Here is a 27,844-nt window from a genome sequence, read left to right as displayed (position 1 = left end):
CTGCTTAAAAAAACTTTTTAATCCAAAGATTATTATATATCTATCTATAAATCATTTATTTTACCTGGGAGAAAATGCTTAATCAAGAAAATTGCAATAAATAATGATGGGTTTAAAACAGAAACCACTATCATTCACCACGTTGACTGATGCTTTTCAGATCTAGATCTTTAGACTTGTGAGAAAATTTCTGTAATGTTCACACTTCTGTAGGGAGTTTTAACTGTCATTCAGAGAGACAGTTATAGAGGAATCATTTATGAATTAGAGTAATAAATACGATTAGCTGAATTCTGTGGCATTTTTTTCAAGCATTTTCCATTTGCAACTCAAATATATGGTTACTCCCAGAAATTCCACTTTTAGGTATATACCCATGAGAATTGAAACACAAAAACTTGCACACAAATGTTCACAGCAGCATTATTTATAATAGCCAAAAAAGTAGAAATAAGCCAAATGCCCATAATTAATGAAAAGATAAACAAATTGTGGTATATCCATATGACGTGCCACACAAAAAATAAAGTACTGATACGTGATACAACATAGATGAACCTTGAAAACATTAAGCTAAATGAAAGAGGCCAGACCAAAAAAAAAAAAAGCCATATATTGTTTGAGTCTATTTATGTGAAATGTCCAGAACAGACAAATCCATACAGATGAAAAGTAGATGGTAGTGTTTTCAGGGGCTGGAGGAAGGGAAGAATGGGAAGTAACTGCTAATGGATTTAGGATTTCTTTTTGGGGTGATGAAAATATTCTGGAATTAGAAAGTGATGATGATTGTACCACTTTGTAAATATCACTAAAAACCACTGAATTATATATTTTAAGGGTAAACTTTATGGCATGTAAATTATATCTCAATAAAGTAATAAAGAATATGGCTATTATAACCTATTTATATTGGATTTCTAAAAGAATATTTCATATTCTACTAAAAGGCGATAGGATCCAGTATATATATATATAATCCTGAAAACTATTTTATAACCAAAAATTTTGCTTCAAAACATCATTCTCACTATAGTTATAAAACAGAAAACAAAACTAAATTTTTAAAACATAAATATATTTAAAAAATTAAAACACCTAAGAAATGCAATCTATACATGTGAAAAAGTAAAATATTTATATGCATAACAAGTAGTTGCAACATTATCCATAAGCAGCAGTTAGTGTTTATTTTCCCTATATTTTGGTTTAACACCATAGTGTAGTGGTAGTTCATTCTTTTTAGGGAAATTACATAAAGTACATATAGAATATTATTAGTAAGTTATAGAAGACTGTATAACTGGAAAATTAATTCCAAGTAACAGCATTTCCTCTAAAAACACATCTATTATTAAACGAATTACTTTAAACTAGCAGAGAACAAAATGAGCCTATAATTTATTAAGTACAAGATATATAGTCAACTTGCATAAAATTACATATGGCATTTTAAAAAGTCTATTCTAAAATATCAGTAATTCAAGCAATTGGGATTTCCACAGGAGAGAAATTGCCATTACTTTCCTTTTTATGAAGAAAGATCTGCCTTAAGAACATCACAACGATGTTATTAAGAAATGCTACAGCATACTTTAAAAATCAAAATGGTGAAACAGATGCATCAGGATATTCTTTTACAGATACCAGCCCTATAGCAGCATTTCAGAAGGTGATTTAAATCTAATAACTGACTTGGGTTTTTATTCTCTTCTAGAAATACATATTACATGTATAGTTTAGTTAAGAATTTTCATTTCCATTATAAATGGGAACTTTTCATACTGATTATCTAAAGGTATAAGAAATTAAGTAATTGGATAGTCTAGCACTTCATTAGAAATATATCCACTGACTCCACAAAAACAACTTTTACATATAAGCAAATTACTAAAAATATCTGAATCAGGAGAAATGAAATAAAATACAGTGAATGGTTTTCTCTTTTATCTCTAACTGTAAAAATCCCTTTTGCCTATTTATTTGACCCGTCTCTATTCATGCAATTTAATGAACCCTCAAAAGAATTTACACATCTTTATACAGAATTCACATCTACATCAGTAAACTACCAGTCCTTTTATATTTTCAGTGCCTTATCAAAATATGTGTAACAAAGTTCTTCATTCTATGAGGCAGGAAGATGTTTCCTAAGTACTTCTTTGGATGAAGAAGATATAGTATCTGGGAAGGACACCTCAAATTCTATTAGAAGGTCACCACGTTGGTCAGGATTTTTTGGAAATGGCAGCCCATATCCAATAATTCTTCTCCTCATTCCGGGTTTCACAATATCATTTACTGACATAGGTATGTTTCTTCCATCCAGTGTTGGTACATTAATTGAGCAGCCACACAATGCCTAAAATGGACCAAATAAAATAAAATGAAAACACTTCAAAACTCAAAAATCTAAGCACAAATTTTACCAGATGGTAAAGGATAATACCACTAAGGTAAAACTTTAACCTCCAAAAGAATAACAATAGTTATAAATTTTTTTTCCTCATTAGAAAATTCCTTCAGAGGTCAGGCACGGTGGCTCACACCTGTAATCTCAACATTTTGGGAGGCCAAGGCGGGCAGATCACCTGAGGTCAGGAGTTCAAGACCAGCCTCACCAACATGGAGAAATCTTGTCTCTACTAAAAATACAAAATTAGGCGAGCGTGGTGGCACATGCCTGTAATCCCAGCTACTCGGGAAGCTGAGGCAGGAGAATCACTTGAACTCAGCAGGCGGAGGTTGCAGTGAGCCGAGATCGTGCCATTGCACTCCAGCCTGGGCAACAAGAGCAAAACTGTCTCAAAAAAAAAAAAAAAAAAGAAGAAAGAAAGAAAGAAAAAGAAAAAGAAAAGAAAAGAAAAAAAGGAAAATTCCTTCAGGACATGCATTATTAGATATGTTACAAAAAAAAAAAAAAAAGAAGAAGAAAAGAAAAGGTAAAAGAGAAGTAAAGGATATATTCCACATTGCCCTGGAATGACATGGTTATTTTGAAGCTGCTATTAATATATTCAAGATGCAGGGATTGGAATGGGAGAAGAGGGAGAAATTCAGGACTAGAAAGAACTGGATAGGAGCAACTATTTCTCTGGAAAGTATTAGGACAAGAAATATATTTGTTTTAGATAACAAATGTTTACTGAGCATTTACTATATGCCACACATTCTGGCTAGATGGTGAGCCTTATAGGGACCATGAACACAGACCCCAGCTCAAGGAATGCACAAGGAACTCACAGAAACATAGAAGCAAACTAGCCATTATAATACTGTATAGTGTAAGAACAGAGGTAAGCATGGAGGTCTTTTGTAAGAGAAAGAGCACCCAACTTAACCCCTTAGATTCCGGGAGTAGAGGATGCTTGAACTAAGCATTGGGCAGTAGCAGGTAGGTATTAGAGCAGGGTAAGAAACAATAGTGTTCCATAGAGTACAGCTCAAGTATACAAGATAATAATAGAGCAAACTGGGCCAGGTGCGGTGGCTCATGCCTATAGTCCCAGCACTTTGGGAGGCCGAGGTGGGCGGATTACTTGAGGTCAAGAGTTCAAGACGAGCCTGGCCAACATGGTGAAAACCTATCGCTACTAAAAATATGAAAATCAGCTGGGCATGGTGGCGGGCACCTGTAATCCCAGCTACTCAGGAACCTGAGGCAGGAGAATTACTTGAACCTGGGAGGTGGAGGCTGCAGTACTAGCTGAGATTGTGCCACTGCACTCCAGCATGGGTGACAGAGCGAGACTCCATCTCAAAAAAATAATAATAATAATAATAGAGCAAACTTGGGGAAGTGCATATACATTTTATGGGTAGACATCAGATTTAAAATGACTTATTTTAAGCTAAAGAGTTTGGACTTTATGGTAGAGGTTATATAGAGCAATTTAAGAATTTGAAGCAGGGAACTGCTATGACCATATTTGCAAAGTTACAATCCAATTTGAGAAATAGTACAAATAGGCCAGGCGTGGTGGCTCATGCCTGTAATCCTAGCACTTTGGGAGGCCAAGGCAAGTGGATCACCTGAGGTCAGGAATTCAAGACCAGCCTGGCCAACATGGTAAAACCCTGTGTCTACTAAAAATACAAAAATTAGCCAGGTGTGGTGGGGGGCGCCTGTAATCCCAGCTACTTAGGAGGCCGAGGCAAGAGAATCACTTGAACCCGGAGGCAGAGGTTGCAGTGAGCCGAGATTGCGCTGTGGGTGACAGAGCAAGACTCTGTCTCAAAAAAAAAAAAGAAATAGTGCAAATAAGAACTCAAATAATAATTGTATTAACATAGTAGCATTATAATTTATAAATGTATATATTTATATGCACTTATAAATGTATTTTTTATTAATATAAATGTATACAAATTTGTAGTGAATTATAAATTATTTTCTTCTAATCTTTTTTGGTATGCAATTATTACTCCATATTAACAAATTTAGAACAAACCCTATATACAAAGACTAATGTGTTGAGATTACCAATGCAGATCTCATAAACCACATTTGTAAAAGCAGCCTCATAGTACATAATCCAGTTAACACTTGACACTTTAATTATAAGTAACTAAAGTTAGAAAATATAATCACATCCATAAAAGAGGTATAATACTAGTACTATCTTAGAGGATTTTTATAGTAATTATTTTTAACGTATAATAGGCATTAAATAAATGTTAGCTATTATCTAGATACACTCCCTATGATCAACTACATAATTATTTGGTCTTAGGATTTTAGGTCCTACCAACTTACCTCTCGTAAACTAATTTTAGCAGTATAAATTATATTTGATCCATCCCTTTTAAATTTTGGATGATCTTTGTCTTTAATGATAAAAACAATGTCTGCTGGAATACTATTTGGTGTTTCATCTCCTTCTCTTGGAAAAGTAATTTTGGTGCCTTCTTTCCACCCTTTTTTAATCTCAATGGTAAGAATTTTGTCCTCAGATCTGTAACTCCTTCCATCAGCGTTTAGCCTTTTTCGAGAAATCTTCATCCGTTTGGTACAACCACTATATATCTCTTCAAGTGATACTCTAAGTTCATGAATAACTGGAGGATCTTGTTTGAGGCGGGATGGCCCCACAGAATTCCTGTCTCTTGGATATCCATTCATGCTGAAACCAAAGGCACTAAAAGGATCACCATCTATTTCCATTTCTTCAGAATCTCTACCACCACCCATTCGTCTTCCAAAGAAAATTTCAAAGGGGTTGGACCCTCCGAAAAATGCAGCAAATGTAGCATGAGGATCGCCATGAAAGGTGTACCGGAAGGTACCTCCTTGTCCATCAGTACCTCCTGCTCCTCCTTTCAACCCTAATTGAAGAGATAAGCATGATTAGAAAAAAGCTTGCAACTCTTAAAAGTTAAACTTTCAAAAACTGTATTGCTAATAAATTTTGGCTAACTTACATTAAAATGTATTAATATTGGCCAGAAATGCCACTTTACTAAATACAGAACAGCTATAAAACTCTTGATGATTACATCCTAAGTTAAATTGTTAAGTTTTCAAATTCTTCCTCCAAATCAGCATTTTTGTTTGTTTGTGTTTTTGAGACAGAGTTTCGCTCTTGTTTGCCCAGGCTGGAGTGCAATGGCGCAATCTTGGCTCACCGCAACCTCCGCCTCCCAGGTTCAAACAATTCTCCTGCCTCAGCCTCCCGAGTAGCTGGGATTACAGGCATGTGCCACCACGCCCGGCTAATTTTGTATTTTTAGTAGAGACGAGGTTTCTTCATGTTGGTCAGGCTGGTCTCGAACTCCCAACCTCAGGTGATCTGCCTGCCTTGGCCTCCCAAAGTGCTGAAATTACAAGTGTGAGCCACTGCTTCCGGCCAAATCAGCATCTCTAATATTTATTCCTGATTCTTTGTTCCACGGGTAAGTAAGAAAAATAAAATAAGGCCGGGCGCAGAGGCTCATGCCTGTAATCCCAACACTTTGGGAGGCCGAGGCAAGCAGATCATGAGGTCAGGAGTTTGAGACCAGCCTGGCCAACACAGTGAAACCCCGCCTCCACTAAAAATACAAAAAATTAGCCAGGTGTGGTGGCAGGTGCCTGTAATACTAGCTACTCAGGAGGCTGAGGCAGGAGAATCACTTGAACCTGGGAGGCAGAAGTTGCAGCGAGCTGAGATCGCACCACTGCACACCAGCCCGGGCAACAGTGTGAGACTCTGTCTCAAAAAAAAAAAAAAAAAAAAAGAAAAGAAAAGAAAAAGAAAATAAAACTGGGAACTCCTTATAAACTACTGATCTGGCATGCTGAAGTATATAAATTATATAAGTATCTACTTATAAATATATAAGTTTTTAAAAGATGTCAGTTGGAAGGTCTTCAGCAATCAACACAAAGTGCAGAACTTAAATCTTTAATTTTTATTACAATCAAACAATATATATAACATTTAAAAATATAAATATATTAATAAAATATATAGCAAAATATAAAATACCATATTCATACTGTTTATATATAAATAAAATAGAAATATGTAAAAATATAATGTAATAAAAATACCATATTCATTCTAACTAGTTTTATTTCAGATCATCTTTTACTGTTTAGGAATTAAAATAGGGCCAGGTGCAGTGGCTCACACCTGTAATCCCAGCACTTTGGGAGGCCGAGTCGGGTGGATCACTTGAGATCAGGAGTTCGAGACCAGCCTGGTCTACATGGTGAAACCCCGTCTCTACTATAAATACAAAATTAGCTGGGCATGGTGGCACATGCCTATAATCCCAGCTACTTGGGAGGCTGAGGCAGGAGAATCGCTTGAACCTGGGAGGCAGAGGTTACAGTGAGCCAAGACTGCACCATTGCACTCCGGCCTGGGCAACAGGAGCAAAACTCCATCTCAAAAAAAAAAAAAAAAGAATTAAAATAGAACTCTGTGTCAGAGAGTGAAAAAAATTCTAATAATGAGGACATTCTATGAAAAATGGTTTTTTAGACACTACGATTGTCATTCCTACTCTAGATACCAAATTTTTTAGGCATATCACATCTTAGCATTAATTTCAATGCTTGTAAGAAGACTGAAATCAAGAGCTGTAAACTTTGACACGTAAGGCCTCTATATGGGTTATTTCTGTCTCTTGTGAACAGTCCACCTCAGGCAACAATATAGTGACTTTTTGACCCTTTGCTTAAGGGTTCCACTAAGTAATATTTAACCCACAAAAGATTATATTTGAAACAACATTTTCCACTATGAAAGAAATGTTCTACTAAAACTCAAAAAACAACAGTATGGTGATCTTTTAAGGGGTCAATACAGATCAAGAAACAAGCAGGAAAAGAATCTAAAAATCATAAAACTATGAAAAATCCAACAGATTAAGCTAGGAGATTCTAATATCTCCAAACAGTGAGTGATTTGAAGGCAGGAAATATATTTATTTTGCACTGCTCATGCATACAGGGCTGAAAATGGTAGGTATTCATGCTTAGTGAATGAAGGGAATGAACTAATTCCTAAAGTCCTTCTAAATCAAAACTAAAAAAGGTGTCTTGAGTATCGGTACAGAGAAAAAGGCAGAAGCAAAAACAATGTAAAATATAATCACACATATACATATATGAGAGATTTAACAATTTAAAATGCCACTAACACACAGCATACTTTAAAGAAACTTAGTTTTGCTTACGTCTTATTCTGCATTTGGCTTCTTCCATTAAAAGGTATATATCTACTCTATTTCATCTAACAGGGTCTCAAGTGATATCTAAAATTTTTACCTTCATCCATGAATAGAAATCTGGAGAGATCAAGAGAGACCTAATAATCTGAAAATTGCCAAAATATGTATTGAACAATATATCCAAATAGCAGTTAGGGAAATTCCTTGTAGAATGACAAGTATAAGCAGGACAAGATCTTTTCATAAGCAGCTCATCCAAATTTCCCTTTTATAAATTTTAGTAGTATAATTATAACTCCAAATGTTAAAAAGGTAATGGCAGATTTTTTTTTTAATGATAGAATAATATGTAGCTCAAGGTCATGACCAAAGTGACTCAACCAATGCTTAAATTATTTAAATAATTTTATCCTTCATCCCATAGACTTAAGGGAGTATAATTATTTAACTGAGTTAAGTAAACTGGGTAAATCAGCCTGCCCAATCTAGCCTCTTATAAGACAAAATTTAAATACTTGCACCCATAATGAATTCATGAAAAGAAAGAATAATGTTTTAATTTATTACATCATGGGTTTGGCTTTCTGGAAAACCTCTTCCTCCTCTGCCAAAAAGGGCAATTCGGTCATAATTACAAAGTCTCTGAGAAGATTCATACAAAGTCTGAAGTAACTTACCAAAGCTGATAAAAAGACTCCAATGCAGCTTTGAGGTTTTCCTAGACACTATTAAACAGTCAACTATGCAGCTCAGACAAAGAACGAAGCTACTCTAATGAATGAAAAAAATCCTAGGCTGGGCACAGTGGCTCACACCTATAATCCCAGAACTTTGGGAGGCCAAGGTGGGTGGAGCATGAGGTCTGGAGTTCGAGATCAGCCTGACCAACATGGTGAAACCTCGTCTCTACTAAAAATACAAAAATTAGCCAGGCGTGGTGGCGCACGCCTGTAATCCCAGCTACTCAGGAGACTGATTCTGTCTCAAAAACAACAAAAAAAAGAAAAAAATCCTACCAAAATTCATGCCACTTTAATATACATTATTATGCAAGTATCACTTGCATTGTCTAGCACATAAAATTATAAGTAATGTCACATTAACTATATGGTCAGTTCTTAATCATGTACATTTTGAACGCTAATGGAAATGTTTAATATCCAATTGGATTCCCTCTGCTATTCAAAATGTTTTCTAGACATCGTCATCACTTTGTGTGATCAAAAAACGCACCAGAGAAGCAACATTTGCCTATGATTTAGCAAGACTGCTATTATTTTACAACTAACCAGTCAACCAGTTTGCAGTCCCAAACCAAATATGTGTTTGGAATACTATCTATAACAATGATTCCCACTAATTAGTTAAGGTTGACTAAAAGTTTCCAAAAGAAGAAACACTGGAGAAAAATTCAGATTGCAAAGAAAAAAACATGATAATACTTTAATAACTCTTACTCCATCCAAGGAGATCTAATATGTAAAAATCCAGATTTACAGCAAGACTTCAGTTATCAAATAATGAGATTCTGAGATTTTTTAAACAGTTTTAATTCACAAAAATCAAATTTACTTACATGTTTTTAGAACACACAGTGAATTAAAAAAAATCCAGCTAGCTAAATATATAAGTTAAAGAACAGAAGAGAACTAGTATAAAGATTAATAAATACAAGTTTTATCATTTAAACACTACCTTTTAATATTTGAAGTTACTGAATAAATCATATGCAATAACAAAATAAGGAAAGCATAAAAAAAGAAAAATTAGAAAACTAGAATAAATGAGGATGTGTTATTGAAAATCTTTTCTTTTAAATCTCTTAACACAAATTTTTGTTGACATCCACTAAACTATTCAAGACTAAACCTAAAACTTTAGAGAGTGGTTCAGAATCCAATTTTAAATTTCTGTAGTTCTGTGGTTTTTGTTTTCAAATGATTCAACTATAGAGAAATTTTATTTTTAAAAAGATTTATTACATATATAAAATTAACCTATTGTACAAATACAATTCAATTGATTATAGTAAATTGATAGAGCTGTATAACCATCATCACAATCCAGTTATAGAACATTTCCATCATTCCAAAGAATTCTCTAGTTCTTATTTGTAGCTAATCCCCGCTCCCACCTCAAGTCCTAGGCAAGAAAGATCTGCTTTCTTTTTCTATATACTGGCCTTTTCCAGACATTTCACATAAATAAAATCATACAATATATAGTCTTTTACATCTGGCTTCTTTAATTTAGCATAGTTTCTGAGGTTCATCAATGGTGTAGCATGTTTCACAAATTGGTCCTTTTATTGCTAAATAGTTCCTCATTGAATGTATATAGCACATTTTGTTTAATTCACCAATTTATGGTGCTTTCAGATTGTTTCCAGTTTGGGGCTATTATAAATAATGCTGCTATAAGCATTCAGGTACATGTCTTTGTGTGGACATGTTTTTGTTTCCCTTTTATAGATTCCTAAAAGTAAATTTGAGTTATCCGTATTTTTTTTCTTTCCTTTGCTTTTTCTAGAGGTAGGGTCTTGCTATGTTGCAAAGGCTGGACTCAAACTCTTGGGCTCAAGCAATCCTTCAGCCTCAGCCTCCCTATTAGCTGAGACTACAGGCATATGCCACCTCACCCAGCTAGCCAACTGTTTTTAAAACAAAGCATTTTAAATTGTGAATATTCAGAACACAAATATACTGTGTTCTGGATTACTGGTTCTTTCACTCCTAAATACATAAATTTAGCATATGCAACTTACATACTTTTCAGTTTATGGTTCCTTATTCCCACCATCCCAGCTCTAAGTCCCAAGACTGTAATAACTTGGGGGGAGCGGGAAGAAGGATACCAGGTAAATTAATAGTGTTTCCATAGTCCTAAAGTTCAGTGTTTTGTTACTACTGGAGACACCTATGGAACCACGTCTGGAGATAAATAAAAGGCAAAGAGAAAAAATGTTTTCCCCTACTTTCACAGTGTATCTAAATGGGATTTTTTAATAGAATAAATGAGATATTCTGAATAAACGGCAAACAAATATAATACTTTCCTGTGAAGGAAGAATAATTCTAAAAAATAATTCAAATAACTTTCATTCAATTGTATTTTCTTTTTTTCCTTTTCTTTTTTTGAGATGAGGTCTCGCTCTGTCGCCCAGGCTGAAGTGCAGTGGCTCGATCTCGGCTCACTGCAACCTCTGCCTCTTGGGTTCAAGTGATTCTCCTACCTCACCCTTCCAAGTAGCTGGGATTAGAGGTGTCTGCCACCACACCTAGCTAATTTTTGTATTTTTAGTAGAGACAGGGTTTCACCATGTTGGCCAGGCTGGTCTCGAACTCCTGACCTCAGGTGATCGCCTGTCTCGGCCTCCCAAAGTGTTGGAATTACAGGCATGAGCCACGGCGCCTGGCCCATTCAATTGTATTTTCAAGTAACCTATAACTAGAGAATGGTATTTCTGCATAATATATTTCTATGTTTTAAAAAAGGCATTCTCTCCTCACTCTTTCCTTCTATCACTTATATCAATTATGTAAGTTAAAAAAAAAAACCCAGGGTATACAGATTCAGGGTGATTTAGTTTTTAAAAAATTCACTCATTGTGTAATGACCAATAAAAATTAAATGAGAAAAATCACTCTAGAAAAGCACTATTAAGAGATAATGTTAAATCAAGAAAAATGTATCATTTGGTGACTTGAAAATTCTGAAGACAAATATCCTTACTAAACCCTGGATCCAATGGCTTAGCCACAAACTTGAGCTATCAGTGAATTGTTGCAAAATATTTTAAATACAAAGCAGTGGATATCTGCTTTTTCACAGGAATTCACAGTGTCATTCCATGTTTGTGAATTTCTTTACAAAATTACAAAATTACTCCTTTAGAAATAGTAGTACATTATTGGTAGTATCTCAGAATCCTGCTTAGCTTTTGAGATAAACCAAGTCATGATATTTTGGGTAATATGGCCATAGGTATCATGCAAGATTGAACTGCCCAGTATTTGCCTTTTTCAATATTTACTTTGTAAGAACCTGACACTGTAGGTCCTCACCACACCAAAACCTGCAACATAAACTTCAATTTTGGGCAACTCATAGACCAAAAAAGCTAAACAAAACAAAAAGGAAAAAACCCTCTATATACAATCACCCTGCTTGTCTACATTTAATTTGTTTCATTCAAAATAAGCAGTCACTGCTTGACTATATTTTAAGGATATATTTCTAATTAGGAAAATTTGATGTTAAATGTAATAAAGGAATCAAAGGGATAACAAGTTTTCATAGCTACAGTGATTTGAAAGCCAGTATTTTGGGAGAAAAACTAATAATAAAATAACTTAGTCCTGATGTTAAAAGTTGAAAATCCCCAAAACAGTACAAGTTAAAGTTTTTTGTGTTATCAATTAGCAATTTAAAATAGTCTTACTTCATAGCCCCGTTTATATGGAAGTGATGGACAAACCTGATTTAAAATGCAGAATGAGAAAAGGATAATCTGAAATTATCCTCCTTTACTGTGCTCACTAGTTTTTGATCTCACAATGCAAAAAACAAAAGTATGGCAGGGAGAGGAAAGGGAAGTTGTCATGTTTTTCTCTATACCTAGATAGTAAAATTTCTAAATAAATAATGTTATCTAAAAGTAAATCAGTAATTATTCTAACTAGGTGGCCATTTTAGGTCAAAAATTGTATTTCTGAGATTTCATTTTCTTGGCACAAAATTATTGTTTACAATTAAGCTAAAAACTTGTTCTGGTATTTTATGACATCAGGAAAATTCTTTCCTCTCCAGGCAGAATGCCAAAAACAACTAGAAGCTAAATGCCTGCGCCTTCTGCTTCTGAGAGTCACAACTCTGTCTTGTTCAGTCTAAACTAGCCTTGCTATAAGAAAGGCAAAAAACTACTTTTTGTTTTTGTGAATAAGCTATAAACTACTCAGAATCTGAAATGCCAATCTTAAGGTTTTAAATGACTAAAGACTCTTTATTGGTTCTGGCAGAAAATTCATTAGAAAACGAAACAGGTTTCATAAGACTTTTGACACAATTTACTAATAGGTATGGGAATTCAAGGTTTATTTTAAAATATACATTGTTAACATTGTAAGTCTAATGATAAAATATGTATAATACAAAATGCTAAAATAAAAAAGGCAAACAAGGACATTTCATTCATGGCTCTGCAATACTCATTCATATGATCAGAGATGAAACCTTGTTATTATACATTTGTCCTTCTACTTTTGATATGACTGAGAATCCAATTTAAGGATAACCTTAACAAGCTGAGAGAGAGGGGAAAAAGGCTGGCAGAGAGAGAGAAAAAAAAAAAAGAGACAGAGCTGAAGAGACAGAAAGATATACAGAGAATACTTACCTTCCTCCCCAAACTGATCATATATTTCTCTCTTTTTAGGATCACTCAATACTTCATAAGCTTCTGCGACCTCTTTAAATTTTTCCTCTGCCTGAGGAGATTTGTTCTTGTCCGGATGAAATTTGAGGGCTTGTTTTCGGTAAGCCTTTTTAATATCTTCATCTGAAGCTCCTTTCTCAATTCCCAAAATGCAATAATAGTCTTTCCCCATTTCGAATGCCTTGAAATTAACTTAGATTTCCCTTTGTAAAAGAAAACAGCGTCCCCAGTCTTAGCAACAGATTCTAAGAAAAATAAACCAAGCTGGGTATTTTAAAAGTTAATCAGCAATTCAGCTAGCTGTCTTAAGGCAGCAAGCAGACAGCGTCTCTGTATTCAATCCTTCCCCAACGGCTCACTTACAGATAAATATACACTACACAGGAGACAGCCTCCTTCTAGATCCTCCCATTTTCACTACGTGTCTCTGTACTTTCTAGAACAGCAAATGCTACAGGACGTCACTTTCCCAGCTGCCTCTAGTCAAAGTACTGAGCTATGTTTTCTCCTCCTCCACGATTAACTATTCATTTTCCGACTAGCTCTACCGTCTTTATTTCCTAATTAAACAGGACAAATGGGTTAACATGCCAATATTTCAACACAGAATGTCACAACTATATATTTATGTACTCCATACTAGGTGAAAATCATCACAGTCATTAAACACCCTATGTTAAAAGAAGTTAAAGTTAATATACAGATAAAAGGAACGACAATTCTACTTTAGGGATTTTTTAATTTTAAGCTATTTGTCTGTTAAGTATATAATACCAAAACGCAGGTTGTTTAAATTAGGATTTCCAAGTAATTTATGTCGTCTTCAAAATTCCTGGGGTCTATCAATCAGAAACGCCAGAAAGTTTGTGTACTAGTTTCACATTGTTAAGGGAGTATCTATAATAAAATTCAAATGCGTTATTTTAAAATAAGTAAAGGACTTAAACATGATTTTAGCTAACTAGTTATTTCTAGTATACATGAGTTCATAGTTCTGGCAAACAAATACTTATTTTTGAAATTTTAGTATCTGAACTTAGTTACTTCAACTAAACTAAAACTGAATGAGGTCCCTGCCACCCCTCAACCCCCGTCCCCTGCAGCCGCCCCACAGGATCCCTATTTAAAGAACTGTGGTGCTGCAGGAAAGCTAGAACAAAGTATCAGGTTACAGACAGTACATACTCATGTTCCTTACAAGACTTAACTGCAACTGCATCAATGTAAAATTTGGATATGCCACTTAAGGGGCAGTAATATGAGAAATATTTTTTCTTTCAAAAACACATTTCCCTAATTATAAATATATATTCATTGTTGGAGATTTTGGAAAACGCAGAAAAAAGTTTTTAAAAATCTCCCTATAATATCATTTTAGGTAATCCCTGTTAAATATTACTGTATTTACTTCTAATTCTGTTTTCTATAAATCTTCATGGTTATTTGCTGTAGTTTTATAATTTTTTGTTAACAAAGTTAGATCATAGCATTTATATACCCTTTTGATGCCTGCTTTTGAAAGTATAACATATTTCAGGTATTTATGAGACATTTTCTATGTATATAACTCATCTTTTATCTCCTGTATGGTTTTCTCATCTTTTCAAAAATGTTCCCATTTCTATTAGAGAGATAAATAAGAAAAGTCAGAAGAATTGCACACAGTCCAAATAAAATGTTAGAAAACCTTTATGAGGAAAAGAAAATGTACATATATGTTTAGAATATAATAAAGGGTAATAATCATGTGTTAACCTTTAAAGAAATGAGAACGCCTACTCTATATGCCAAGCAATGATGATTCAGCAATTCTTTCTGAATGTTCATCTTTGTGCATTTTGACAGCTACGATTTTCTACTCTTCAAAATTCTCTACTTTAACAACACCATGACATTAGAAATGTATAACATTGATCTAGCCTACCTGTAGGTTACAGAGGTTTGTCAGCTATTTATCAATTTTTTTAGCCTCACCAAGAAATAATATCAAAAGGTACTTTCAAATCCAAAAAACTTAGTGAAAAATGCTAATATCCAGTCACCTTAAGACTCCCAGTTTTAAAAAGCATATTGCCAAACTGAAATCCAGTGCAAGGATCAGTATCACATAGAGTAAAAACAGAATAAAAATCACCTATTACAAAATTCATTTCCAAGGGAGTTCCTTTAAATATTCCTTACCAAAGGAACGGTGACTTTACTATTTAACAACCGGAAATTGTTCTGGCGGGTAGTGTTTGCAGAAAAAAAAAATAGACACTTATTTGATTCAATCATTTTCAGAGAGCTAGGAATATTATCAAAACTTGACACAGTAAATTATTTTAGAGAACCTGAAGACCGGGTCTTTCATATTTGTGAGAAATTGTATTATATATTAACAGACGGAAAGAAATCTGGCTCCCTAGACACTGAAAAGGGTGAAAAGGGATTTTCACATTTCTTTAAATATCACACACACATAAGAATCGTAATTGTAAAGTTGAAAAGCAAGAATTCACCTCAACTTTGACATTTCAAGTTAATAAGAAAGCAAATATAATCGTGATTTACGCGATTGTTGTATTACGTGATTGTTGTATTAATACAACAATCTGGCTAGCTTTTGGTAAAATGAACAGATACTTGCACACTTATAGCTTTGTAAAGCTTTGTAAATAATTCAAACATTTGGCAATAGTAAAAGCCACTAAATATTATTTTAATAGCTCTATAAATACCACACCTGGAATTTATCCTTAGAAAATAATTTAAAGACAATAATTATATGTACAAATATACCCATTGCAAATAGATGAAATAGGGTAAAGCATCAAGATGATCATCTTTAAAAGTACATAGCATTTTGGAGATATTTTACCCTTACATTCACCTTTTCAGACTGAGATGTCTTCTCTACTACCTAGGAGTTGAAAATCCATTATACAATACGATCACTTTACATTAAATCTTGGTCATCCAAGTTTGTATGATATGAATGCGGCAATTTGGGGGAGGGGTTGGGATTGTCATTCCTGCAAATAATTATGACAAAAACAGGAAGAGTATGTAAAAGGGAGAGTAGTGGTAGCCTGTAGGGGAAATGGAACAGAGAAGAGCTGAGATCAAAGCTTATTTAATAAAAGTAAAATAAATAAAAGCTTTTTTAAAGGTTAAAATAAAACCAAAAAAATACATAGAAATAGTCTATATGGAATATTTAGATATCACATAAATGCTGCTTATATGATGTTATAGCTTACATGTATGTGTGACGGAAAGTTTGAAGAGAACAAAAACTAGCTTGAGTTAGTAACTGACATACATTTTTTCCCTTAAAACTAAAGAATGCTGCATTTTTAACAAAGATATAAAAATTAGCACTTGCATTTTTAAATTTTTACTTTGCTACTCAAACATTGGTAAGATTATTCCATGAAAACACAATTATCTTCCCTTTATTATAAGAAAAGTACAGTCAGGTGAGGTGGCTCATGCCTGTAATCCCAGCACTTTGGGAGGCCAAGGCAGTAGGATCACTTGAGCTCAGGAGTTCAAGACCAGCCTGGGCAACATAATGAGACCTTATCTCTACTAAAAACTAATTTTTTTAAAAAATGGAAATTAAGATAGCATTTTAACCACAAAAAACTAAAAGTATAATTTGTTATTCAGTTGATGTCATCTTCATCTTCTACTTTGACTTTATTCATATATAATAAAAAACAAGTTTTCTTTTTCCAACTCACAAATCATTTCTCAGTTTATAATAAAATAGTACAGAAGAAGATAAAATGCCATGAGTCTCAGAAGAAATTACATCAAAATTCAGATCATCACTTAAATGCTGGAGGACAAATGACTTCTCATATTTTACCATCGCACCTGTGAATAACTTTTCCTGGCAATATTTAATTCTTAAATGGGTCATATTTAGTCCTAAATTTTTTTTTTTTTTCTTTTTTGAGATGGGGCTTGCTCTGTCACCCAGGCTGCAGTGAAGTGGCACAATCATAGCTCACTGCACCCTTGAACTCCTAGGCTCAAGTGATCCTGCTGCCTCAGCCTCTCGAGTAGCTGGGACTACAGGCCAATGCAACATCTGGCTTATTTTAATTTCTTATAGAGACCAGGTCTCACTATGTTGCCCAGGCTAGTCTCCAACTCCTGAGCTCAAACAATCCTCCTTCCTTGACCTCCCAAGATCCTGGGATTACAGGCATAAACCAGGGTGCTTGGTACTTGAAATTTCGATCCTGGAATTACAGGCATAAACCAGGGTGCTTGGACCCTGAAATTTCTTTTTTTTTTGAGACAGGGTCTCGCTCTGTCGCCCAGGCTGGTCCAGAATAGAGTGCAGTGGCACAATCTCGGCTCACTGCAACCTCCGCCTCCCGGGTTTTAAGAAATCTCTGCTTCAGCCTCCCGAATAGCTGGGATTACAGGTGCGTGCCACCACGCCCAGCTAATTTTTTTGTATTTTTAGTAGAGACGAGGTTTTGCCACCTTGGCCAGGCTGGTCTTGAACTCTTGACCTCGTGATTCACCCGCCTTGGCCTCCCAAAGTGCTGGATTACAGGCATGAGCCACCACGCCTGGCCATGAAATTTCTTAGTCATTCATATTAGAAAATTATGACCTCCATTCCCCAATAATTCCTGTCCAAGAATAAGCAAATAAACTGAGGCTCTTTTAAACTCTGTTAACAGTGCTTTAGATATTTGAATATATAACCTCAGAGTATGTAAAAGTGATTATATTTGCCGAGGTGACACCCAGGGAATATTCATAATATAGTGGTTAAAAGCATAGATTTTGGAGCTGGAGTGCCTGGGTTAGAATCCTGGTAATACTACTTACAGCTGTAAGACCTTGGACTTAAATCTCTCTGACCTCAGCTTCCTCATCTGTCAAACAGAGTTAACTCTGTTAACTGTTAAGCTGGTAACATTAATACCAATTTAGGATTGTTGTGAGGATTAAATGCAATCAATGTGTGATACTTAAATGTGATTGGCACGTAGTGAGGAATACCAAAGTGCTGGCTACTCTTATCATGATGATGATCTCATATGAACTTGAAAATTTTTTTTCCAGGAAAATTACTATACCATATGCATAACAAAATGTTCTTATTTATAAGCATACATGCACACACACTCACACATACACACACAGCTGTCCAATTGGTATTTCTAAATATTCCAGTTAATATTTGCTACTCATTCATGTTGATTTTGTTAAAATTTAAAATCATTAAAACTTCCCATAGGTAGCATTCATTGTATTTCAGTTCCAATATTTATATTCTTAAAGTATATATATTTGATTTTGGAATCAGAAGATCTGTCCAGCCTTAATATCTGTTGATGCCTCACATATCTCAGTCGTACCAAATTACTTGAAAATTATCTAGGGGAAACCATTATTTATCAATTCCTCTTAGAGGGCTAGTACAAAAGAATAAAGACTTAAAAATCTGAATACTTGGTTTCTAATCTCAGTTCTCCCACTTAACAGGTGAGTAACTTAGATGAATCATTTAAATTATCTGAATACCTAACTCACAAAGATTATTGTGAGAGTCAGATGAGATAGTACATGTGTCAGCACTACAATTTATATGACATCTACATATACATTATTTTCAGTATTTTAAGCTATATAAACTATTTTGCTACCACTTGGATGTTTATTGACAAATAGTCTCCTTTGACTCAGGAAGTTTTACTTGGCATAAAGCATTAAAGTAACTACCAGATTCACCCCCAAAGGAGTCTGGCATCCCCCAAGATCTTGCCTCTTGCCAAGTTCCCTTTTCAGACCTTTATCTCTGAATTTTACTATCTTCTCAGTGTTAAAAAAAAAAAAAACCTGTTCTATGCCTTCCCCATAATAACATTTATATAATACTTTACAGTTTATAAAATACTTCCATATGCTTTCTCACATACATCTGATACTCAAGTGATAAGATTTCAAAGAGCTTTTCTATAGCTACAGTCTAATAATGAGCTAAGATATTCTTGACAATTCTTAAACATACACTGTTCCAATATTTACATAAAACTAGAGGGTACTAGGCTGTGTCTATCCTAATGTTTCACCTGTTTTTAAGATAATATCTAAATAGTTATATAAAATCAAATTATTGGCCATTTAATAACGGACTATATCTTACCTCTACATACTATAATTTCCTAAAAAACCAGTAAGCACTAAGAGGTATCATTACCATAGATTGCTATAGAGCAAATGCTTGATGTAAGTTTGCAACTCAGACCCTCAATTCTCATTCCTGTGAAAAGGTTCCAGAGCATAATACTTACAGTACCTTTTAATTTTGTGATGGCTACAAATGCAACTTTGTCTTTAGGGGAAAAATAGGGAAATTTTTATTTATTGTGTATGTGTTGCCAAGATACAGACCCATAAAATCTATTTATTTATTTATTTATTTAGAGACAGGATCTCACTCTGTTGCCCAGGCTGATTGTGTTCCTGATCTCACAATCTCAGCTCACTGCAGCCTCGACCTCCTGAGCTCAAGCCATTTTCCCACCTCAGCCCCCAGAGTAGCTAGGACCACAGGCATGCCACCATGCCTGGCTAATTTTTCTATTTTTAGTACAGATGAGGTTTCGCCATGTTGCCCAGGCTGGTCTAGAACTCCTGGGCTTAAGCGATCCACCCATTTTGGTCTCCCAAAGTGCTGAGATTACAGGTCTGAGCCACCGCACTCAGCTGAGAAATTTTAAAGAGATTCACTTCTTACCTTATCTACGTTACAAGCTGAAATACATAAACTTAAGGCAAGTGTCTTTAAGACATTAAGCCCTATCCATTTAAGCTTAAATTGTTTTAGAAATCCTACTCTCCCACGCCCCTTACCTGTAAATGTCCTTTTTTAGGCAATGACAGTAGTTTGGATTCATTATATTTGGAATTTGTCAACAGTATCTGACTGTCCATTTTATAGTATTTGATGGGTACACAAACTGTTTAAAAAGGTGGTTATCATAGTGCACATTTTCCACAAATAAAGTATTTCAATCACTCAGCAAATATTTATGGAGTGTTTATTTTGTGTCACACACTATTTTAGGTGCTGTTAACTAGATAGACATTATCCTTGCTCTCATTCAACTCATTCTAGAGGGGGAAGACAAACAATAAAAAGTTAATAACGAAATGAGATCGTTTTAAGAGCTTTAAAGATAGTCAAACAGAGGCCGGTGCGGTGGCTCACGCCTGTAATCCCAGCACTTTGGGAAGCTAAGGACTGCAGATCACTTGAGGCCAGGAGTTCAAGACCAGCCAACACGGTAAAACCCCGTGAAAATACAAAATTAGCTGGGCATGGTGGCGTGCACCTGTGGTCTCAGCTACTCAGGAGGCTGAGGTGAAAGGATCATTTGGGCCTGGGAGGTGGAGGTTGCAGTGGGCCAAGATCATGCCACTATACTCCAAACTGGGTGACAGAGGGAGACTGTCTCAAAAAGAAAAGAAGAAAAAAAAAGTTAATTATTATCCTCAACTTGGGCTGGAGTGGTGGGGATAGGAAAGACTTCAGAACAGAAAATTGTGAGCAAAGTCATGAAAGACTGATAGATTTTGACAGAGAAAGGGAGAATTTGCAATTTGGATCAGGAACACTAAGTCAAGAAGCAAAAGAGCATAAAATGTATTTGATACAGCAAAAATACTGGTGAGATTAATGCATGCAAATTAGGAAGGCTTGCCCTGGGAAGCTGGCAGAAAATAAGTTACGGTCAGATTGTTCGAAGTTTTTTTTATGGAGACAGGGTTTTACTGTCACCGAGGCTGGAGTGCAGTGGCATTGTCACAGATCGCTGCAGCCATGATCTCTCCTGGGCTCAGCCTCCCAAGTAACTGGTATTACAGGCTCACACCACCACCACATCTTGCTAATATATATATAGATATATAGATATAGATATAGATATAGATTTTTTTTTTTTTTTTTTTGTAGAGACAGGTTCTCACTATGTCTCCCAGGCTGGTCTCAAACTCCTGGGCTCAAGCAATCCTCCCGTCTCAACCTCCCAGTGTTGGGATTACAGGCATGTGCAACTGCACCCAGCTGAAAGTTTTTAATGTCACACTTGATGACTGCTCTTTTATGCTCTTCAAAAAGCACTAATTCAATAGTTTGGTCTTTGAAAAAAAATTACTTGAAGAGGTTGCTTCATTTCTTAAGTGTCCATTTATTCCCAAACCAGTGAAATTACTTTTCTGGTTGTCAGTAAGGTAAAGGGTTCTTAACAAAGTTTCATTAATAATCTGTAAGCTTCCTGGCCAGGCGCTGTGGCTCACGCCTGTGGTTCTGGCTACTCTAGAGGATCACTTGAGACCAGGAGCTCAAGGTTGCAGTGAGCCGTGATCGCAGTCCACCCGGGTGACAGAGGGAGATCCTGTCTCAAATAATAATAATTTGTAAGCCTCCAAGAGCACCAACATAAGATGGCAAACTAACTTAAAATGGTTGGTAGGAAGAATAATTTTAGTCATAATTCTCTGTGGACTATTGTCTGTATCATCAAAATTTCCATTTTATCGCTACAGTAATATTAGTAATTCCCCAAGTTTTCAAATGTTGATACTGTGTCATGGCTTGGTTTTATAATACTTTCCCCGAAGCACTATAATATATACATTTAATTTTTTTGTCTAGTGGTCTTTAAAACAAGATTTTAAATTGTTTAAAAAATTAAAAAGTACCTACCTTTCAAAAAACAAGAAAATAAAATTGCTTTAAATGTATAGAAATTACTAGATTTGGAGACACCCAGGGGATCAGACATATTTTATACTTAAAAAAATAAATCAGCCAGGTGCAGTAGCTTACACCTGTAATCCCAGCACTTTAGAAGCACGAGGTGAGAGGATCACTTGAGCCCAGGAGTTTGAGACTAGCCTGGGTAACAAAGTGAGAATTCCATCCCTACAAAAAATTTACAAATCAGCCAGGCATGGTGGCATGTGCCTGTAGTCCCAGCTACTCAGGAGGCTCAGGCAGGGGGATGGCTTGGGTCCAGGAGGTCAAGGCTGCAGGTGAGCCGTGATCATGCCACTGTATTCAAACCTGAGTGACACAATAAGACCCTGTATCCAAAAAATATATATATCATTTCCTTTTTTGGGGAGTATAGAACTAACTTATTCTAACTGGGATGAATAAAATATTCAAGCAACAACTAGCCCTTCTTTGTTACCCTCTTTTACAATAAGTCCTTGAAAGCTTGCTAATGACTAGTGAATGTATGGCGAGCTAATATACTTTTCTGGCATTTTGAAATAATTTAAAGAGTTCTTTTTTTGTTTTGTTTTGTTTTTTGAGACAGAATCTCACTCTGTTGCCCAGGCTGGAGTGCAATGGCACAGTCTGGGCTCACTGTAACCTCCGCCTCCCGGGTTCAAGTGATTCTCCTATTTCAGCCTCCCAAGTAGCTGGGACTACAGGCATGTGCCACCACACCCAGCTAATTTAAAATAAAGTGTTCTTTACACTGATTTTAAACACTGAGTTAGGCCCAGGGTGATAGCTCACACTTGTAATCCCAGTACTTTAGGAAGCCAAGGCAAAAGGATCACTTGAGTCTAGGAGTTCAAGACCAGCTGAGCAACATAGTGAGACCTCGTATCTACAAAAAATAAAACAGATTAGCCAGATGTAGTGGCATGCACCTGTAGTCCTAGCTACTTGGGAGGCTGAGGCAGGAGGATCACTTGAGCCCAGGGAGATGAGGCTGCAATAAGCCATGATCACGACACCACTGCACTTCAAGCCTGGGCAACAGAGCAAGACTGTCTCAAAACCAAAAACACTGTATTAGCCAAAAAATTTTAAAAAGAGCTAGAGTTTCTACATCATTTTAAATGGGTCTTGATAAACTAATATTTCATTATAACATTTTGCCTGTGTTGAAAGATCACACTATTTAGACCAGTGCTGTCCAACAGAAATATAAAGCAAGCTACAAATGCAAGCCACATTTCCAGAAACCATATTTTTTTAAAGTAAAAACAAACGTGAAATTAATTTTAATAATGTATTTTATTTAACCTAGTAAATCCAAAATATTATCATTGCAGCATATAATCAAAATACAAATTATCAATGAAATACTTTACATTCTTTATTTTTTGTACTAAATATTTGAAATACAGCATGTATTTTACACTTTGACCTCAATTCAGATAGGTACATTTCAGTAGCTTAAGAGTCTCATGTGGCTAGTGGCTACTGTGTTGGACAGTGCAGATCTAGTGGTTCCTTCTAGTCGGCAGTACTATAATCCAATTTTTCAGAAATCTCAGCCTGTGAATCTCAGCCCAAGTATACCACACATACATACCTCTCACATGCACATTTAGGGTAAATAAAGTCTTAACAGGTGAACTCTATTTTACTTATAAAATAGTACTACATTGTTCATCCATATAAACAATATGATAATTTTTTTCAAAATAATACTTTACACTTAAGGTAGTAGGAATGTATTTACACATGCTCAGTTGACATACACTTTCACAATGTTTAATTGTAAAAGCAACACTTGGAAATGAGGAATCTACGTGATTTTCACTTTTATCTTTTCTAAAATGTCTCTTCTCATACTCTTTTCTTATATGTGGCCTGAGATGTCATCTTAATTGGCTCATTAGAAAAATGAGAGTAGTTAAAAAAAAAAAAAAAGAGAGAGAGTAGTTTAAGGAGTACACAGAAAAAAAATGTCTGTAGCCCAAGAGGAGGAGAGGATATGCAGCTGTTTCATTGAATTATTAGGCTCTTAGCCAAGACTGCAACAAACTGATTATTTAGCAAGTTTGTTTAGCTAATTGTTTACAATTCTCAAATAATTTTTTTCTTTTTTTTTTTTTTTTGAGACAGTCTTGCTCTGTCACCCAGGCTAGAGTGCAGTGGTTTCATTATGGCTCACTGCAGTCTCAGCCTCCGGGGCTCAAGTAGTCCTCCCAACTCAGCCTCCCAAATAGCTGGGACTACAGGCATGTGCCACCATGTCTAGCTATTTTTTCTTTTGTAGAGATAGGGTCTCCCTATTTTGCTTAGGCTAGTCTTGAACTCCTGGGCTCAAGCTATCTTCCCACCTCCGCCTCCCAAAGTGCTAGGATTACAGGTGTGAGCCATTGTGCCTGGCCTCTCAAATGATTTAATTTAAATCAGTACCAAACTTTAACTATGAATTAACTTTATCGTATACTGCATCCATTAAAACATAATCACGAAACCACTGCTACCATGGAGACTTAACTATGATTCGAAGACTTTAATAATGGCTACCAAATATAAGTATTAGAACATTTATATAAATAAGCCCGTATGTCCTATAGTATTTACCAACTACTATAAAATTCAGCCATTGACTACCTAATTCCAAATGCATAAGCTTGAACTATTATAATTGTCTAAAGAAGGATATTTAGAGAAAAATATATCTCTAAAATAAATTAACTGTAAATGGATGGGTTTTAATGTTCAAGTTATTAATATTTCAAAAATATAAACTTTTTGTTATCTAGGTCAAATCAGCATATCAAGCCAACCATTACTGAGACCCCACTGTGCTATACTGTTACATGTAACATGAAGGATAAAACAGTATAATACATAGTCCCTACCCTTAAGGAGTTTATACTATAAATAAGTCAGGCACGGTGGCTCATGCCTATATCCCAGCACCTTAGAAGGCCAAGGAGGGCGGATCAATTGAGGTCAGGAGTTCGAGACCAGCCTGGCCAACGTGGTGAAACCCTATCTCTACTAAAAATACAAAAAAATTAGCCAGATGTGGTGGCACACACTTGTAGTCCCAGCTACTTGGGAGGCTGAGGCAGGAGAATTGTTTAAACCCGGGAGGTGGAGGTTCAGTGAGCCAAGATTGTTCCACTGCACTCCAGCCTGGGTGACAGAGCGAGACTCGATCTCAAAAAAGAAAAAAAATAAAAGAAAAAGGAGTTTATACTATAACTATATAAAGTAATACCTAATGTCTATTGTTGCTTTTGCCAGACAGCGGTAGAGTTGAGTAGCTGCAGCAGAGACTGTATGGCCCACAAGGCCTAAAATAGTTACCGTCTGGCCCTTACCAGGAAATGTTTGCCAACTTCTGCTTTATACAAATTATTCTTCGCTGGAGGGAGAGCAAAGTCTAAATAAAGCACTAAACATGATAAAATTTTATTGCATCTGGCAAACTTTAAAAACTATAGTTTTTACAATAAACACTCAGAAATAGGCCGGGCGCGGTGGCTCAAGCCTATAATCCTAGCACTTTGGGAGGCTGAGGCGGACAGATCACCTCAGGTCAGGAGTTCGAGACCAGCCTGGCCAACATGGTTAAACCCTGTCTCTACTAAAAATACAAAAATTAGCCAGGTGTGGTAGCACATGCCTGTAATTCCAGCTACTCGGGAGGCTGAAGCAGGATAATCGCTTGAACCCGGGAGGCAGAGGTTGTAGTGACTGAGATCGCACCATTGCATTCCAGCCTGGGCAACAGAGACTCTGTCTCAAAAAAAAAGAATAAAGGTCAACCTGTTTTTGCTTGTCTGATGGTAAAATAAAACTTATACGCTGATTCTCAACCTGGACATGACTGCTAAAGGGAATATATTAGAATATTTAAAGTGTGAGGTGAGATGCTTATCAAAAAGGGTGGCATGTGTTTTAAAAGGCAGAGAAAGACTGTTTAATAATCATACCTCTGTATTGTTCCCCTTGACCATTCCCATCTAATTCATCGGTCCTGGTCATAAATGATAATGGCTATTTCCCAAAATGAAATTTACCCTGAAGTAGTTGATTCTCATTTGTTATGTTCTTTTTTTTTTTTTTTTTTTTTTTTTGAGACGGAGTCTCGCTCTGTCGCCCAGGCTGGAGTGCAGTGGCGGGATCTCGGCTCACTGCAAGCTCCGCCTCCCGGGTTCACGCCATTCTCCTGCCTCAGCCTCCCAAGTAGCTGGGACTACAGGTGCCCGCCACTACGCCCGGCTAATTTTTTGTATTTTTAGTAGAGACGGGGTTTCACCGTTTTAGCCGGGATGGTCTCGATCTCCTGACCTCGTGATCCGCCCGCCTCGGCCTCCCAAAGTGCTGGGATTACAGGCGTGAGCCACCGCGCCCGGCCTCATTTGTTATGTTCTATAAAACCCATAGTTATGTTCTATAAAACATTTGCCATGGTTATGTTCTATAAAATCATCCCAAATGCTAAATTAGAGAATAGTGAATCACTGCCCCTAAGGGAAATACAGTGTTAGGTTCCTGCCAGGCTCTGGTCACATTTTCATCAACTGGTCAATACATAACCTCTTCTATGTGTATTTCTGTTAAAGATACCTTAATAATATATATTGTTGATTCACTGACATTGAACTCATAGCCAACAGAACTATGACTCATGCCTGAATGAAGCTTACCTAACACCTGAATTTTCTCTGTAAGGCACATCACAGCCTTCTTGTGCTTAGCAACACTAGACAGCACTTTAGCACTATGCTTAGAGGCCATTTTAAATAGTAAAGTCACCAATAAAAAAAAAGCACAAAAATACAAAAATGTGGCACTAAATGGACCATGAAAAGGAGACTTGTTTAAAAGTATGAGAGCTGAAACATGAGGGCAGACCACTGACTTGTTCAACCTCAGCTAGTTCATTTTTTGTGTGTGTAGAGATGGTGGGAGGGGTTGCACTATGTTGCCCAGGCTGGTCTTGAACTCCTGGCCTCAAGCAATCCTTCTGCCTCAGCCTCCCAAGGTGGTGGGATTACAGATGTGAGCCTCTGTGCAAAGCTCAGCTAGTTCTTAAATATTTTGCCACTCTGAACATGCGTATGTCTAAAAATGACCTTGAAAGCATTTCAAGTATTGCTTTTGGGGTTACAAATACATTTCGGTGAGTAGGCAAATTCATAAATACAGAACTGACAAATAATGAGAATCAACTGTATAATAATATCATTACTGAGAATCTTCTGCATTAACCATAATCAGTTAAAAAATTGTTTTTGAACAACGGTAACATTAATGAGTACACAGGCACCAAAGTTAATACCTTTGAAGGGATATTTGTTATATATAAAGCAAATAGGGCATGTGTGTAGGTGTATTTCCCTCTTCCCTACTCCAGGAGCCCTTCACCTAGCTTACTTCTGCTTTGAGACTCACCCTGTAGATGGGCTTCTGTGAAGCCCAAACTTGGGTTAGATTCCCCGGACCTTGAGCTCCTACACTTCCCCCCATATCTCCACTGTATTACACATCACCTTACATAACCATCTGTGTGTTTATGCCTCATCCACTGGATTGTAACCAGCGGGGTCCTGTTTTATTTCTAGAACAAGGCGTTTACAATATATTGCTGTTCAATAAACTTTTACTGAATGAATGAATCACAAAGAGATGAGAAATAACAAGAACCTAAAGTAGGATGACTATGATATAACCAGACCAACAGGTAGGATTAAGTAGTAAGAAATAGCATCTGTATAATTTGCCCATCAGCTGGATGTAGAGAAGAGGAAGGATTTCAGACTGCCCATTTCTGGATTGACAAAGGTGTGCACAGTTGTGCTACTAATGAAAGTATAGAATATAAGAAGAGTACTTTTTAAGTGTAAAGACAAGTTCTACTGTGAACATTCCTGTAACCTTATTAATAACCCCTTCATCTATGCTACTTCAATAGTTGGTAAGTTTTGCTGCATAAGACTGCATTCCTAGTTATC

At 36.0% G+C, this 27,844-nt stretch overlaps 1 protein-coding gene across 6 annotated transcripts in view; it reads right to left on the bottom strand.

Moving 5' to 3' along the window:
* Positions 1–411: 411 nt before the first annotated feature.
* Positions 412–27,844, bottom strand: part of DNAJB4 (DnaJ heat shock protein family (Hsp40) member B4) — a 38,790-nt gene continuing 11,357 nt past the window's right edge. For 2 of the 6 annotated variants that reach the window (NM_001317101.2, NM_001317102.2), the window contains exons 2-3: positions 4,757–5,325; positions 412–2,362 (exon numbers count right to left, since the gene is read on the bottom strand). In NM_001317101.2, coding sequence (NP_001304030.1) covers positions 2,129–2,362; positions 4,757–5,191 — 669 coding nt within the window. In that variant the 5' untranslated portion in view covers positions 5,192–5,325 and the 3' untranslated portion in view covers positions 412–2,128. Of the gene's footprint in view, positions 2,363–4,756; positions 5,326–13,054; positions 13,438–25,509; positions 25,623–27,844 lie in introns of those variants that run through there. The other 4 variants (NM_001317100.2, NM_001317099.2, NM_007034.5 and 1 more) reach the window with 4 other exon arrangements.

Source organism: Homo sapiens, chromosome 1 (assembly GCF_000001405.40).
Source record: "Homo sapiens chromosome 1, GRCh38.p14 Primary Assembly".
Taxonomy (NCBI): domain Eukaryota; kingdom Metazoa; phylum Chordata; class Mammalia; order Primates; family Hominidae; genus Homo; species Homo sapiens.
This window is presented reverse-complemented; position numbering and strand designations above follow the sequence as displayed.